Genomic DNA, 12,494 nt, shown 5'->3' on the forward strand with positions numbered 1-12,494 from the left:
AGTCCTCAGGCTTGTATTGCATGCACTTTCTATGCCTTTTGAAAGAGCCTGTCCTCACACCCTTCTCTCTCAGAGGCAAGAGATCTATTTTCATCACCACCCTCATTTAAGTCTCCCAGCTACCAAGGCCAAGGTTTGGAGCAACAGCCTAAAACACCAGCTGGAAGGCTGGGCACTATGCACAGGCAACACACAGGGTAAAGAGCGTGTCTTCTTTGTAAGGCACAAGTACTCGAGCTGTTCCCTGGCTGTGTCCCTGGCAGGGAGAAGAGGGAGGATGTGTTCATGGGGGTGTACAGTATGCCTTACCTTGCTGTACCCAGCAGGGTTGAGCAGAAAACGCTTCGTCCCAGTGCAGCAATCTGTGAACACTCTTAACCAGCAGGTGTGTGTCTGTGTGTGTGTATGTGTGGGAGGAGCGAATGATGAGGAGGAAGGGACTCTTGGAAGGTGACTAAGGGCTCCAGCTGGAGCTCTCCAGAGTCTCCCAGATACATGGAGATCAAGTCTTGTCAAGGTGAAATCTTCACCATTGGGCAGGGGGCAAGTACAGACAAACAGCTGTTAACAGGAACCACAGTTTGTACATGAAAGAGTATTTATTGAAAACATGGTTACTGACAGGAAGCTCCTGGCTGCTCTCTGGTTACAATCTTGGCTCACAACTGGAAGTGTTACATACTTTTTACTTCCCCTCAATTTTATTTTTCCCCAAGGTTCCATCCTAAGATAGGTAGATCTTATATAAATATATATACACGTCTGTATAAGTATGGCCTATAGTAATGAAAATATATAGTACACTCTTCATTGGGTAGTACCTACCATGCCAGGCCACCAATACTGAATGCCAATGTGCTAACGTATGTCCAGGGAGAGAGGCTGTGTGTGTGGTTTACAAGTGCTGCAGCACCAGGGAAGCCCCACTGGCACAGGTGTGGCCTCAGCCGGCCTCAGCCAGCTCCCTGAAATCATGGCCAATGGCAGAAACCATAGCACTAGGAAGGGAAGGCCAACTTCCTGGGGTCTGGAAGGCCAAAGGAAAGCAAACTGGAGGGGGCTGCAATTCAGGTTAGGGGAGATTTCTCTCTGAGGAAGGAAAAGGTATTAATGTGGGGGAAGAGCAGTAGAATCTAGTGACCTCACCACAGTCTAGGCCCAGGCCTCAGCTGGGTTTTCCCTGCAGCGTTCCTGGAGACTTAAGAGGGCAGGACTTGGCCAGGAGGTCTTTGACTTGCTGGGATGAGACTGAGCGCTTGCAGGGAGAAATTTCCGTCTGCTCTGATATCTGTATGGGCCAGAGAGATCTGGTGGCTCTAAAGACCAGAGATGTTAGAGCCAACCTCAGAAGCAGCAACGTCTTGGCACCATATGAAGCTGGAGTGAGCCCTCATCAAAAAAGACAAAAGCAAAAGCCTCAGGCTTGTACTCAGATCTAAGATACAGGTAGTCACTTCAAGGCTCTCAACACGCCCAACACACCTGTCCTCTGCAGGCAGCCTTTCCTGGGCCAGCTGTTGCTCACGTGGGGATCCAGCTGATCAGAGAGCAGGCTCAGGAGGAAAAGGTGAGTGGCTGTTGTTAAATCCATTTCAAGAAGCAGTTTCTTGGACTGGAAGGCAAGGGCATCTGCTGTTTGTTCCTCGTGGCCCAATCCCAGGCTTCATGGTGATGGAGTGGGCAGAGCACCCTGCCTTCATGACTCTTAGTAGACAGGGACCAAGAGGAAACTCTGGGTGGTCCGAGGTGGGTTTGAGAAATGGCTGGCATTTACTGGCCACCAAAATCACTACAGATTCTGTACAAGCAAAAGACAAGGCACCAGAATGTAAGTGTTTCTCCTGGGCCCAAAATCCCTTCTCCTGGGTACCGTCGTTTCTGGCTCCAGGCTCAGCCATAGTGATAGACAAAGTCATAGCTGCTGGGCTCCTTGGGGATGGGGGGTGGGGCTTCGGGAATCTGGATGTTCTCCAGGTCCAGGAGCCGCAGCTTCATCTCCATGCTCAGCAGGGTGTCCAGGTCACTCTTGGTCAGCTCACTGGACATGTCCTTCCCCAGAAGGGCACTGAGGCCATCAATCCAGATGCAGTACTGTGGGGAGCAAGTTGCAAAATGTCACATCGTGACCCCTGGTCAGCAGGAGATCCTGCCAAGGTCTCTTTTCTGATGGGGCTCACAACAGTTCCTTTTGGAACTAATCAGTATAGGCAAAACTGATTTGGAATGATAGCAAAGATAAATTAGGAGGTGATCCTTCACTTTCTCAAGAGATCTGGTTTTTATAAGGGGTTTTATATTACAACTCCTTACAATAATATGAAGGAGAACCTAAAAATGCAATAAACGAATACAGCAAAATGAGATCTGAGTACTGGGGCATCATCTACCTGAAGTTACCCAAAATCAGAAGCGAGAGAAGGGAAATATGTATTAGGTGAAAAGAAGCAAGACACAAACAGAAGTCACTGTGGGATCTCAATTTTGTGCCCCGCCCCCCCGAAAACAAAATTAAAAATAATCCAGTCAATACATATTAAAGAGTAAATACTAAAGAAATGGAACTGGTGGGTCTCATGCTAAGAGGGGGTGACCAGGAAGCCTTCTGATCCCACCGCTCCCTGACTCTTCCTGCTTCCTCTGCTGCCATTTTCCTTTTTCCACACCGTTGCTCACCTGGTTCCCCACTTGCTTGTTCTTCATTTCCTCTCAACCAAATTCCACTAGCGGCAGCTCAGGCCCTGCCCAAGTGTCTCCTCTGCCAGAAGTCCCACCTCTAGTTCCCAGTGATGGCTCTCAGAGCTCACCAGGCACATAGGGTCTCAAATGCAATCACTCATTTAATATCTAGTATCTTCCAGTGCTGCAGATGGAACTACAGGGCCCTTGTCAGAAGGACCAGTTCCATCTGGCTTCAAAGTCCACACTGGATCCATTACAACATGTGACCAGGAGCCCCTAGGAGGAAGGATCTGTCAAGTTCTCTTGGGTAGCTGACCACAGAGAAACTGAAAAGGGGAGAATTTTCCCAGTCCCAGGTAAATGACTCATTCCTAGTTGACCTTATCTTTGTAATGACAACCTATGGCTGCTGCTGAAGAGTAATGTGGAGAGCCCAGCTCACAGATAAACAATCCAGAGTGTGACAGATCCTTGGCAGCCACCCAATGCGCCTGGAGGAACCTCAGGTCCAGCATTATGTAATGATACCTGCTGCTTCATCTGGGTGCCCCCCCAACCACAGCTCCTCCTTTGAGACATTCCCATCCTATTGAAATGCCACCTTCTTCTCAAAGCCTTCCTAGGCTTCAATATACACTGCAGCCACCCACCACAGGGGACTTTCCTGTTTTGCTCATTCCTGCCACCAACTGAAGAGTTACAGAAATAGCTCTGTTGTCTAAGGCAGCGCCACACTGCTCACCTCATATTTATTAGGTGCGATGAAGTTTAAGGTCTCATCAGGGTCATACAGGATGGAGAAGGCCAATTCCAACACCTCCTGAAGGAGAAAGGGTTTAAATTAGAGCGATGGAACAGCCTGGGGTCTGCACATCAAGATCTTGGCCAAAGTCCTAGTGACTCGGCATCATCACCAAACATGCTGATTCAGATGAATGTCATCAATGCTCCTAGGCGGCCACAAGTGTGGCTGGAGATGAGGCCCAGCATAAATCAACCTTAACTTACCCACTCCCTGCCCAAGTCACATCAAAGATGTTGTGATATTTTTAAGATTGGAAAAAAGTCATTTTCAACACTCAGAACCCTGGAAGGTCACGATCCATGACTGTAAGTTATCCTAAAAGTTTTTATATTACCAAGATGACTAACAACTTCTATCGTGCTGTATTTGGCATAGGAATGTCTTAACAATTAAAAAACAAAACAAAACACACACACACACAAAATTGGTCACTGTTGCATGATACCAAGGAACTAACTCATTATTTTGAAAGTAAGTACATAAAAGAAGAATCAGCATTTATTCTCGTTTCCTATATAAACTGTACCACTGGGAAACCAATAGTAGATAAGGGCAAGTTTCATGGTTCAGCTCATAAATGAAAAGCAATGACTGCATCAAAATATCATGAGTTTGCAAACCTTAGTTGACTGATGGAATGAGGCACTGAGCTTCAACAGTCTGCTAATTATCACAAAAGGAGAGACCACCAGACGTTATGTGCCTCTTGATAGAACATAATACCACTGATGACACTGGCCAGGAAAAAAGTTAAACCTGAACTGGATCAAACCTCTAGATCCCTCTTCCAATGTACAGATCTGGGACAGAGGAACAAGTTAAACTGTACCACGGGGAAACAATCAGCAAAATTCAGATGCTAGGAAACTACCAAACAAGCAATCTGGTTCTTCAGCTAATAAACTGCAAAGGAAAAGATGGTGGGGGATGGGGGGGCGGGGGAACTTATGAATTAAGAAACTTAAAAGACCAGTCTTAGACTCTGGTTTAGACAAGATGGGTATGGGGGTGTGTGTGTGTGTGTGTGTGTGTGTGTGTGTGTGTGTGTGTGTATCCATATAAACATTTATATATCTGTAGAGAAATTATGACATTTATAAGACAATTGGTAGAAAGTCACCATCAGTGGAATATTTGATCTGAAATAACTACTTTCATTTCCTGTTATGTGTGCTAATGGACTGGTGGCAATGTTATACACTATACGATGTACACTAAATATTTACAGATGAAACAGTGTGATACTTGGGACTTTCTTCAAAGCGATAAAGGAGAGAAACAAGTGGATGGGCAGAACTGGCCATGGTTGCTGAGTCTGGGTGATGTGTATACAGAGGTTCCATCTATTTTTGTGTATGTTCAAAATTCTTAATAAAACATTCAGGAATAGAGAGGGGAAGATGCCAAGAATGCACCTGGAAAAAACCACCACCAATGGCACTCTCCAAGTATCACTGGGCCAGCTACTCAAACTGGCCTCTCTACTCACCTTGTTCTGTTTCAGAGCACTTTTCTCTTTCATGTGGGGACAATCTTTCCCAGTGACAATGGCCTTAATGTCTGCAACAGGAACTGATAAATGATGGGAATTAGTCTCTGGAAGTTCATGCTGCAAGCTGGTCAGTGCCTACATCAGTGCTGGAAGGGAGGTACTGGGGCAGATGCATAGGAAGCCTCAGCCCCAAACTCCAAGGGCTGCTGTATGAGCTCAGTGAGGGTGGTGGGGAGGATGGCCTTGTACTGTTCCCTCCGTCTTGGTCACTCCTGTAGACCACAGCCCAGTGAGGCTGTGTCAAAGCTAACTGAGGGTCACTTCAGGGCTCTTGGATTTATATCCCCAAGGAACGGGACCTTGGTGACTCCCTTCCCCTCTCCTTCACAATAATGGCGATGATGATGCCATCATCGCCAACAGCAGTGGCAGCTGCTAACAGTTATGCTGACTACCTGCCAACCACTCTTCTAAGTGCTTTGCATACATTACTCATGCAATCCTCTTAGGAGGAAAGTGTGGCTATTATTCCCACTTTACAGGAGAAGAAACCAAGGCAGAGGGGAGAACTTGCAATTAATTAGAATTCAAGTTAATTAGGAGCAAAGCCAGGATTTGAATGTGGGCAGTCTGGCTTCACAGCTTCTCCTCTTAACTACTGCCTTTCGACTTAGTCATGTACCACCCTTTACAGTCTACACAATACATTCACACCTGTGAACTCATTGTTTCTCCAAACCACCCCACCGAGTAGGCCAGGTAGAGGAAATCGCTGACAGATAAGGAAACAGGTCCAGAGAGGTAACAGGTACAAGCCCAGATGATCAGCTACAAACAGCTGGACTAGAACTCCTGTCTCCTGACAAGTCCAGCAACCATGACACATCAACAGAGAAATGAACCTACTTTTCTCCTGCAGGGATTCAAATGTCACCTCCCCTTGTGGGTTGTCATCCAAGTCACCATAGTGAAGGACCTTGTGGTTCAGTGCCAACCGGCAGTACCAGAACCGTTCTGGAACACAAGGGAAGCCAAACAGGTGAGCAACGACAGTACTGGGAAAGGCCTGGGCACAAAAGGGGCCATCCAGGCAGGCTCTTCCCGGCACCAAGGATTGCCCCGTCTCCTCTCACCTTGCCTTCGGCGGTTCCCAATCTTTCGGAAGCTGCTGCCCTCACAGAGCCGGTTCAGGCGCTGCTGCTTGATCAGCTCAAGGATCTCGGGCTGGATCTTCTCCCTCAGCTCCCTGGGGTGGACACACACTGGAGTGAGCGGAAGGTCATGGGGACAGTGGAGCTCTGGAAGGAAAGCAGAGCTGGCAGCCACCTCCCCCGCCAGCCTCCCCTGAGATGGAACTTACACAATTGGCGGGGACTGGAAGTCATCCTGACTCATCCTCTCAGACTGGCGCAGTCGTAGAATCTCAGAGTAACTCAGGCTACGCAATTTGCTCTTGAACTGATCCAAAGAGTTGGGTTTGGAGGGCAAAGCTCGAGTGATTTGCTCTCGGACGACTTGCATAACCTAAGAGGAGAAGAACCCAGCCAACTCACACCACTACTCTTGAGAAATGGACAGGCCTATTATGGAGCACCAAGGCTCTTTCCTGCCCCAGGGTCTTGAGCAGGGCAGGCACTACAGACATCTGCTGGGTGAGTAAGGTATACCTTCTTAGATGGTTATTCAGGTCACATGACTGACACTGATAGATGCTTTATTTCCCATATATTTCAATTGGTCAATGGTGTGGGGGAAATGAGCATGGATTTTTGTAGTCAGAAAGAAATGGGTTCACATCTTGACTCTGTCCCTTCAGCAAGTCACTTAACATCCTTAGGTGTGCATCTACTCATCTCTAAACCGAGAGAAAGGAAGACACATCTCCTGATAGGTGTTGCCATAAAGAATATGAGATACCAGCCGGTTGCAGTAGCTCATGCTTTGGGAGGCTGAGGCAGGCGGATCACCTGAGGTCAGGAGTTTGAGACCAGCCTGGCCAACATGGTGAAACCCCGTCTCTACTAAAAATACAAAAATTAGCCAGGTGTGGTGGCTCACGCCTGTAGTCCCAGCTACTCAGGAGGCTGAAGTAGAAGGATCACTTCAACCTCGGAGGTGGAGGTTGCAGTGAGCCGAGACAGTGCCACTGCACTCCAGCCTGGGTGACAAGAGTGAAACTCTGTCTCAAAAAAACAAACAAAAGAATAGAAAGGCAAGCGCAGTTCTGGCACGCTGTGGTGTTTTAAAAAAATGCATTGGTCCCCTTAAAACAACTATTAAAGAAAACAACAGGATACCACACTGCATGCGCAGTATGATCTTGCTAATGAAGGAAAAACCTGTAGGGGATAAAAAAGACTAGAGGAAAACAAAAATGTTTGTCACTGGATGGTGTAAATACAGGTAACTTTTTATTCTTTATACTTTCCAAATTTTTTATGATGAGATGATCAACTTCAAAACACTCGACCCCTAGATGATCAGCTTTTGAGGGCCTGGCACAACAGTGCTCTGCATAGAGTGAGGACTGAAAGCACCGAGGGATAACTATCGATTAAGTACCCAGGGTGTGCACATCATGCCAGTCCACTCTTCTCTCCTAACCTTCCCAGTTCACAAAACTACAGCAGTACCTGCACAGTAAGCACTCAATAAACCACAGTGAGTCTTCTAATGCTTATCCTCCTGACCTCTCTGGAGGACGGGAGGGACAGGTGCTAACTTCAATGGACAAATGAGGGCCTACGGCACCAAGTGGAAGACAAGCTCAAGGTCACAGAGGGAGCAACAACCAGATGGGGCTGAGGCTCCCCAGTGCCTCAGTCTTGTGACTCAGTTCTGCAGACCAAGCTGCTTTTCCAGCTCAGGGATTCTCCAGGTGCCAGCCAGCTGTCAAAGGCTGTCGTGTGATGGTCTCCTCCCGTGGGCCTCAGAGCAGCCCGGAGACACTGACCTTGTTGAAGTCCTCTGCTGTTGCCCTCATCTCCTTCCAGGTCTTGTTCAACAGCTGGATGCAGATTCCAAAGAGCTCTTCAAAGGCTCGGTCATGGGTAAAGAACATCGGGTGGTAGTCATTGCGTCCTTCATTTGCTGTGGAAGTGAAAAAACAGGGAGAAGATGAAGCCTCTGTCCACAAGGGCCTGGGAGCTCATGTCTGGAAACTTTGCACCAAAGTCCCGAGGAACAAAAGCAGCCTAAGGCGCGCAATTAACAGGGAGCGTGGGATGGGCGTTTCTCACGTCCTTAGCTTTCTTCTCCAGGGTGCATTTTCTTGCCTTCCCTCTACCCTGTTACAGACTCAGCCAGCCCTTACCCACAGGCATGGGGTAGCTTTGGAATATGATTCAAATTGCCAGTTCAAACAAAGCAACAACCATGATTCCCATAAATAAGGATAAGATGGAATTATCAGCTGATGCAGTGATTTAAAACAAAAAACAAAATTAAAAACCCACCTAAGGTTGTCTAGTCCCACTGACATCTTTTTTTTTTTTTTTTTTTTAAGATAGAGTCTCACTCTGTCGCCCAGGCTGGAATGCAGTGGCATGACTATGCTCACCATAGCCTTGACCTCCTGACACAGTGATCCTCCTGCCTCAGCTTCCTGAGTAGTTGGGACCAGAGGCATGCACTACCAGTTGGCTAATTTTTGGTTTTTTTTTTTTTTTTTTTTTTTTTTAGAGATGGGGTCTCACTATGTTGCCCAGACTGGTTTTGGACTCCTGGGCTCAAGTGATCCTCCTGCCTCAGTCTCCCAAAGTGCTGAGATTACAGGTGTGAACCACCACGCCCGACCCCACTGACATGTAACTGTTTATAATTTTGAGTCTCACTGAGCTCTTGATGACAAGGAATGGCTGAAGAAGAGGGAGCTGCAGAGACTTACGTAGTTCCCCAACCTGCAGGATTTCACAGAGCATTTTGGTGAGCTCAATGGCACTGCGGCCAAAGGGGCATTCATGTTTGTCTTCCCGGCTACTGTTCTCCAAGACAATCTGTCGGGGGAAGAGAAAGGGAGGATTAGGGAGATGAAGGAGGAAGGCAGGAGATGTGGCACCAGGACTGAGAAGGCCAGCTCCCCTGCCTTTACCCGGATGTAGGTGTCCTGGTGGACTTTAGCCAAGTACAGCATGTTGTCCAAGGCCAGCATTCCAGGAGGAGTCTGGGTAAAGTCCATGGCTGGATTGATGTGGTTCTAGAGAAATAAAGACACCCAATTTGAGATGCGGCAGTCTCCGTGTATGCAGGGACCTGAGGGGATGCCCTCTCGCCTCTCCTCTTGATGCTGCTACCACTCAGCACCCACCTCTGTCCTAGCTCTTTTCACACCCATCACCACCACTGAACTGTGAGCTCTTGAGTGCTGGACGGTGGCTGCCTCACCATGCATCCCAGAACCTACTTCACATGCTGCTGCACACTGAGTAGGTACGCAAGAAATACTTCTTCCAGTTAACCCCATCCTCAAGCCCTACTCTATCACAAAATATTCACACTAGCTTTGCAAAGAACCTAGCAGTTTGGGTAAGAGGACAGGTCCCCTCTCTACCCACTCTAGCTGACCGCAACCCCCCTACAGATGGATTCGTTTCACAGGGCCAAACTTTGCACATAAACTCACAGACTCACCATCAACAAAGCAAAGCAAGCATTAAAGCTCCACCAGCTTCCTAACTGTCATCTATTCCAGGGCCACCATGGGGTTGGTTGTCAGAGCTCTGTCTGGGTGGGACCATTGACTTCCCATCAGGGGAGAGGGCCTACCACCGTCTATGCTCTGAGGTACTTACGGTAAATCCCAGCATTTTGTAGTCCTTTGTGTACATGGCTTTGCGTTTTTCGGTCCCACTCCCAGGGGCATTGCTAGGATCAGACTCTGCGTCAAATGCAATCCTCCTCAGTTCAAATATGATGTCCCTTTGAGCCTGCGAGGTGAAACAGACAGTCAGCAGGTGAATCGGCTAACCAAGGGAGCAAGGAAAAGAAACAGTGGGTCAGGCTTTTCTGGGCCAAACTTTGGCCCCAATCAATCCCTTAGGAGGCATCACCTCTACCACAGCAGGACAGAAATGGGCTTGGCTCATGGTGCAGATCATGCTAGATTTTCTAGGGCAGATGCAAACTACTTCTGCAGACAAAGACCAAGCACAGTGCCTGGCACATAGACTAAGGCTGGACTGCACCACAGCCATGAGAAAACAGCTGCCCCACTTAGCACCTACCTGGTCATTGGGGTCCATCTTGGTCATCATCCTTTCTTCCAGAAGGTTAAAGGTTAGGACTTGAAGGACATATAGCTGATGGGCCATCTCAGTTTTGATGGGGCGGTTCCCTCGGATCACATGCTAGAAAAAGCACAGGCAGGGAGCAGGGGACTGAACTGATCTCTTTTAATGAAGGGCCACATCCATGCTAAGGAAAAGGAATGTATGTTGGGAAGGGAACAGAGCTTTCCTCCCACACACGAGGACTTCATATTCTAGAAGGCGATGGAGCATGAATGGGCTTGGTTCAGGCAGAGATGACTCACTGCAGGCCTGAAAGGCGCCATCCCTTCCTCTGCATTCCCCTGGGCAGGGGAAGCAGAGTGAAGGCAGGGGCTATACCCAACCACACCAGAAATGGGGGAGGCTACTCCATCAAGGCTATGATACAGAACATTGGGGGCTGGACCTTCCTCCAATCAGGCATTTCACAGGCCTACTAAATGCAAAACAATAGATGGTGTGCATGGAGGCAGAGTTGTTTTTCCCTTAGAAAAATAAAATGTTTTGGATGGCTTCACCCAGCAGAGAGGCTTTGGGAAAGGCCATTTTCTTTCAATGATACTGAGATAGCAACACAAAGGAGGAACAGTTCACTCTCCTACCAGCTCCCTCCCACGGCCCTCTCCTTCCTTCCTTCCTCTCACTTGTCCTCTCCTCTCTCCTATCACTCTGTCCCTGCTCCCTGTGCCGCCCACACCATGTCCCTCTCCCTCCTGACTCTCCCTCCCCACTGTCTCTGTGCCCCCACATTCCCCTGTCGGTTCATCACCTCCTCCTTTGTCCCTCTGATGCCCACACCCCACTTTAGGTCCCCTGGTCCTGTCTCATGTTCTGTCTCTGTCTTTCTCTTGCATGCTATGTCTCCCTCGGTCTGTCCTAGCTGATCAACCCTTGATTACATTCCTGTCTCTCACCATCCTGTCCTCACTCCCACAATATCCTGCTTCCCTTCTTGCTCCCTTGTATTTGTCACTCCCTCTGTCTCACCCACCATTATGAATCCTGTCCCTCTTGGTTCTTTCTTGCCCAAATGAGGCTCTCCTCCATTTTCCACATGTACCACCACTATGTCCTTCAATTTCCCTACTCAGTAGCTCTGTCTCTAGGGCTGTGCTGTCCAGTATAGCAGCCACTAGCCATATGCAGCTATTTGCATTTAAATCAGTTAAAACAAATTTAAGTTGAAAATTTGGTTCCTTAGTTGCACCAGCCACATTTTAAGTGCTTAGTAGTCACCGTGGCTAGCGGCTACAGCAATGCAGATACGGAACACTTCCATTAACAGAGTTCTACTGAATAGCAATGCTCTAGAGCGCTCTGACTTTAGAGAGGTATCTGACTCAGTATCTTTTTAAAGCTCCTTCTAACTTTGGATCAGCTCTCCCTAGAGTTTGCTCTGACTCTAGATCAATCTCTTTAGACCTGTGAGGTCCAGTTTGGTAGCCCCCAGGCCCATGAAATGTTAGGCCAAACTGAGAGGTGCTGTGAGTGTAAATGCATACCGGATCTTGAAGCCTTAGTAGGAAAAAAGAAAATGTAAAATGTCTTATTAATAATATTTCATATTTATTACTTGTTGAAATGGTAACGTTTTCGATATCATGGGCTGAATAAAATATATTATTGAACTTAATGTCCCTATTCCTTTTTCATGCTGCTACTAAAATGTTTAAAATCATGTGCATGGTTTGGGTTCTATGTCCACTGGACGGTCCTGCTCTAGACCTCTTCCCCTACTGTGACTCCAGTGCTCTCTCCTTTTTCTAGCTGTTTCTCTAGATCTACACTTCCTAATACAGCAGCCATGAGCCACATACGGATATTTAAATTTAAAATGAAATTAAAATTACAAATTAGGTCCTCAGCCACAACAGACTTATTTAAAGTACTACACATGACTGGTGGCCACCATTGTGGACAGCACTTCCATAGCACATGCTAACATGCTGGAGTTAGGCCTCTGCCTGCATCCCTCCCTCCCCCTGAATCGGTGATCATGTCCAGTCCTGTAGCTCCCGCCCTGTCACAGGCACGCCCTCTGTCTCTTAAGCGTGAGATCGCTCTTCTTAGCTCAGTCTCACTGTTTCTTTCATCTCTCTAGCCTTACTCTCTTGTTCTCTGCTCTGTGCCCCCTGCCCCATAACTTCCCTTCCTTCCCACTCCCCCCAGTCTCTCTCATGGCCAGGGGCTCTTCCCTGCCATCGCCACTTCTTTTCCCCTTCACACCTCTTCCTTTGCCTCACTCTGAGGT

At 47.8% G+C, this 12,494-nt stretch overlaps 1 protein-coding gene and 1 long non-coding RNA gene across 8 annotated transcripts in view, besides 1 other annotated feature; one reads left to right on the forward strand and one right to left on the reverse strand.

Moving 5' to 3' along the window:
• LOC124904917 (uncharacterized) overlaps positions 1 to 12,494 on the forward strand; it is a 33,481-nt gene that overhangs the window by 931 nt on the left and 20,056 nt on the right. The gene's annotated exons all lie outside the window — the stretch shown is intronic.
• The window catches only part of ELMO2 (engulfment and cell motility 2), a 40,566-nt gene continuing 28,652 nt past the window's right edge, over positions 581 to 12,494 (reverse strand). For all 7 annotated transcript variants that reach the window (NM_182764.3, XM_006723854.4, XM_005260496.4 and 4 more), the window contains 11 exons: positions 10,199 to 10,321; positions 9,767 to 9,901; positions 9,067 to 9,171; positions 8,863 to 8,971; positions 7,930 to 8,066; positions 6,337 to 6,500; positions 6,110 to 6,222; positions 5,883 to 5,990; positions 4,974 to 5,056; positions 3,422 to 3,499; positions 581 to 2,091 (listed from right to left, as the gene is read on the reverse strand). In NM_182764.3, coding sequence (NP_877496.1) covers positions 1,891 to 2,091; positions 3,422 to 3,499; positions 4,974 to 5,056; positions 5,883 to 5,990; positions 6,110 to 6,222; positions 6,337 to 6,500; positions 7,930 to 8,066; positions 8,863 to 8,971; positions 9,067 to 9,171; positions 9,767 to 9,901; positions 10,199 to 10,321 — 1,356 coding nt within the window. In that variant the 3' untranslated portion in view covers positions 581 to 1,890. The remainder of the gene's footprint in view (positions 2,092 to 3,421; positions 3,500 to 4,973; positions 5,057 to 5,882; positions 5,991 to 6,109; positions 6,223 to 6,336; positions 6,501 to 7,929; positions 8,067 to 8,862; positions 8,972 to 9,066; positions 9,172 to 9,766; positions 9,902 to 10,198; positions 10,322 to 12,494) is intronic.
• Positions 3,121 to 3,350: an enhancer, noted in NCBI's record as "active region_17971". NCBI's record gives its function as "activates an Ori minimal core promoter by ATAC-STARR-seq in GM12878 lymphoblastoid cells {active_cell/tissue: GM12878}" and the evidence as "EXISTENCE:reporter gene assay evidence [ECO:0000049][PMID:35858748]".

This window comes from Homo sapiens, chromosome 20 (assembly GCF_000001405.40).
Source record: "Homo sapiens chromosome 20, GRCh38.p14 Primary Assembly".
In the NCBI taxonomy this organism is placed as follows: Eukaryota; Metazoa; Chordata; class Mammalia; order Primates; family Hominidae; genus Homo; species Homo sapiens.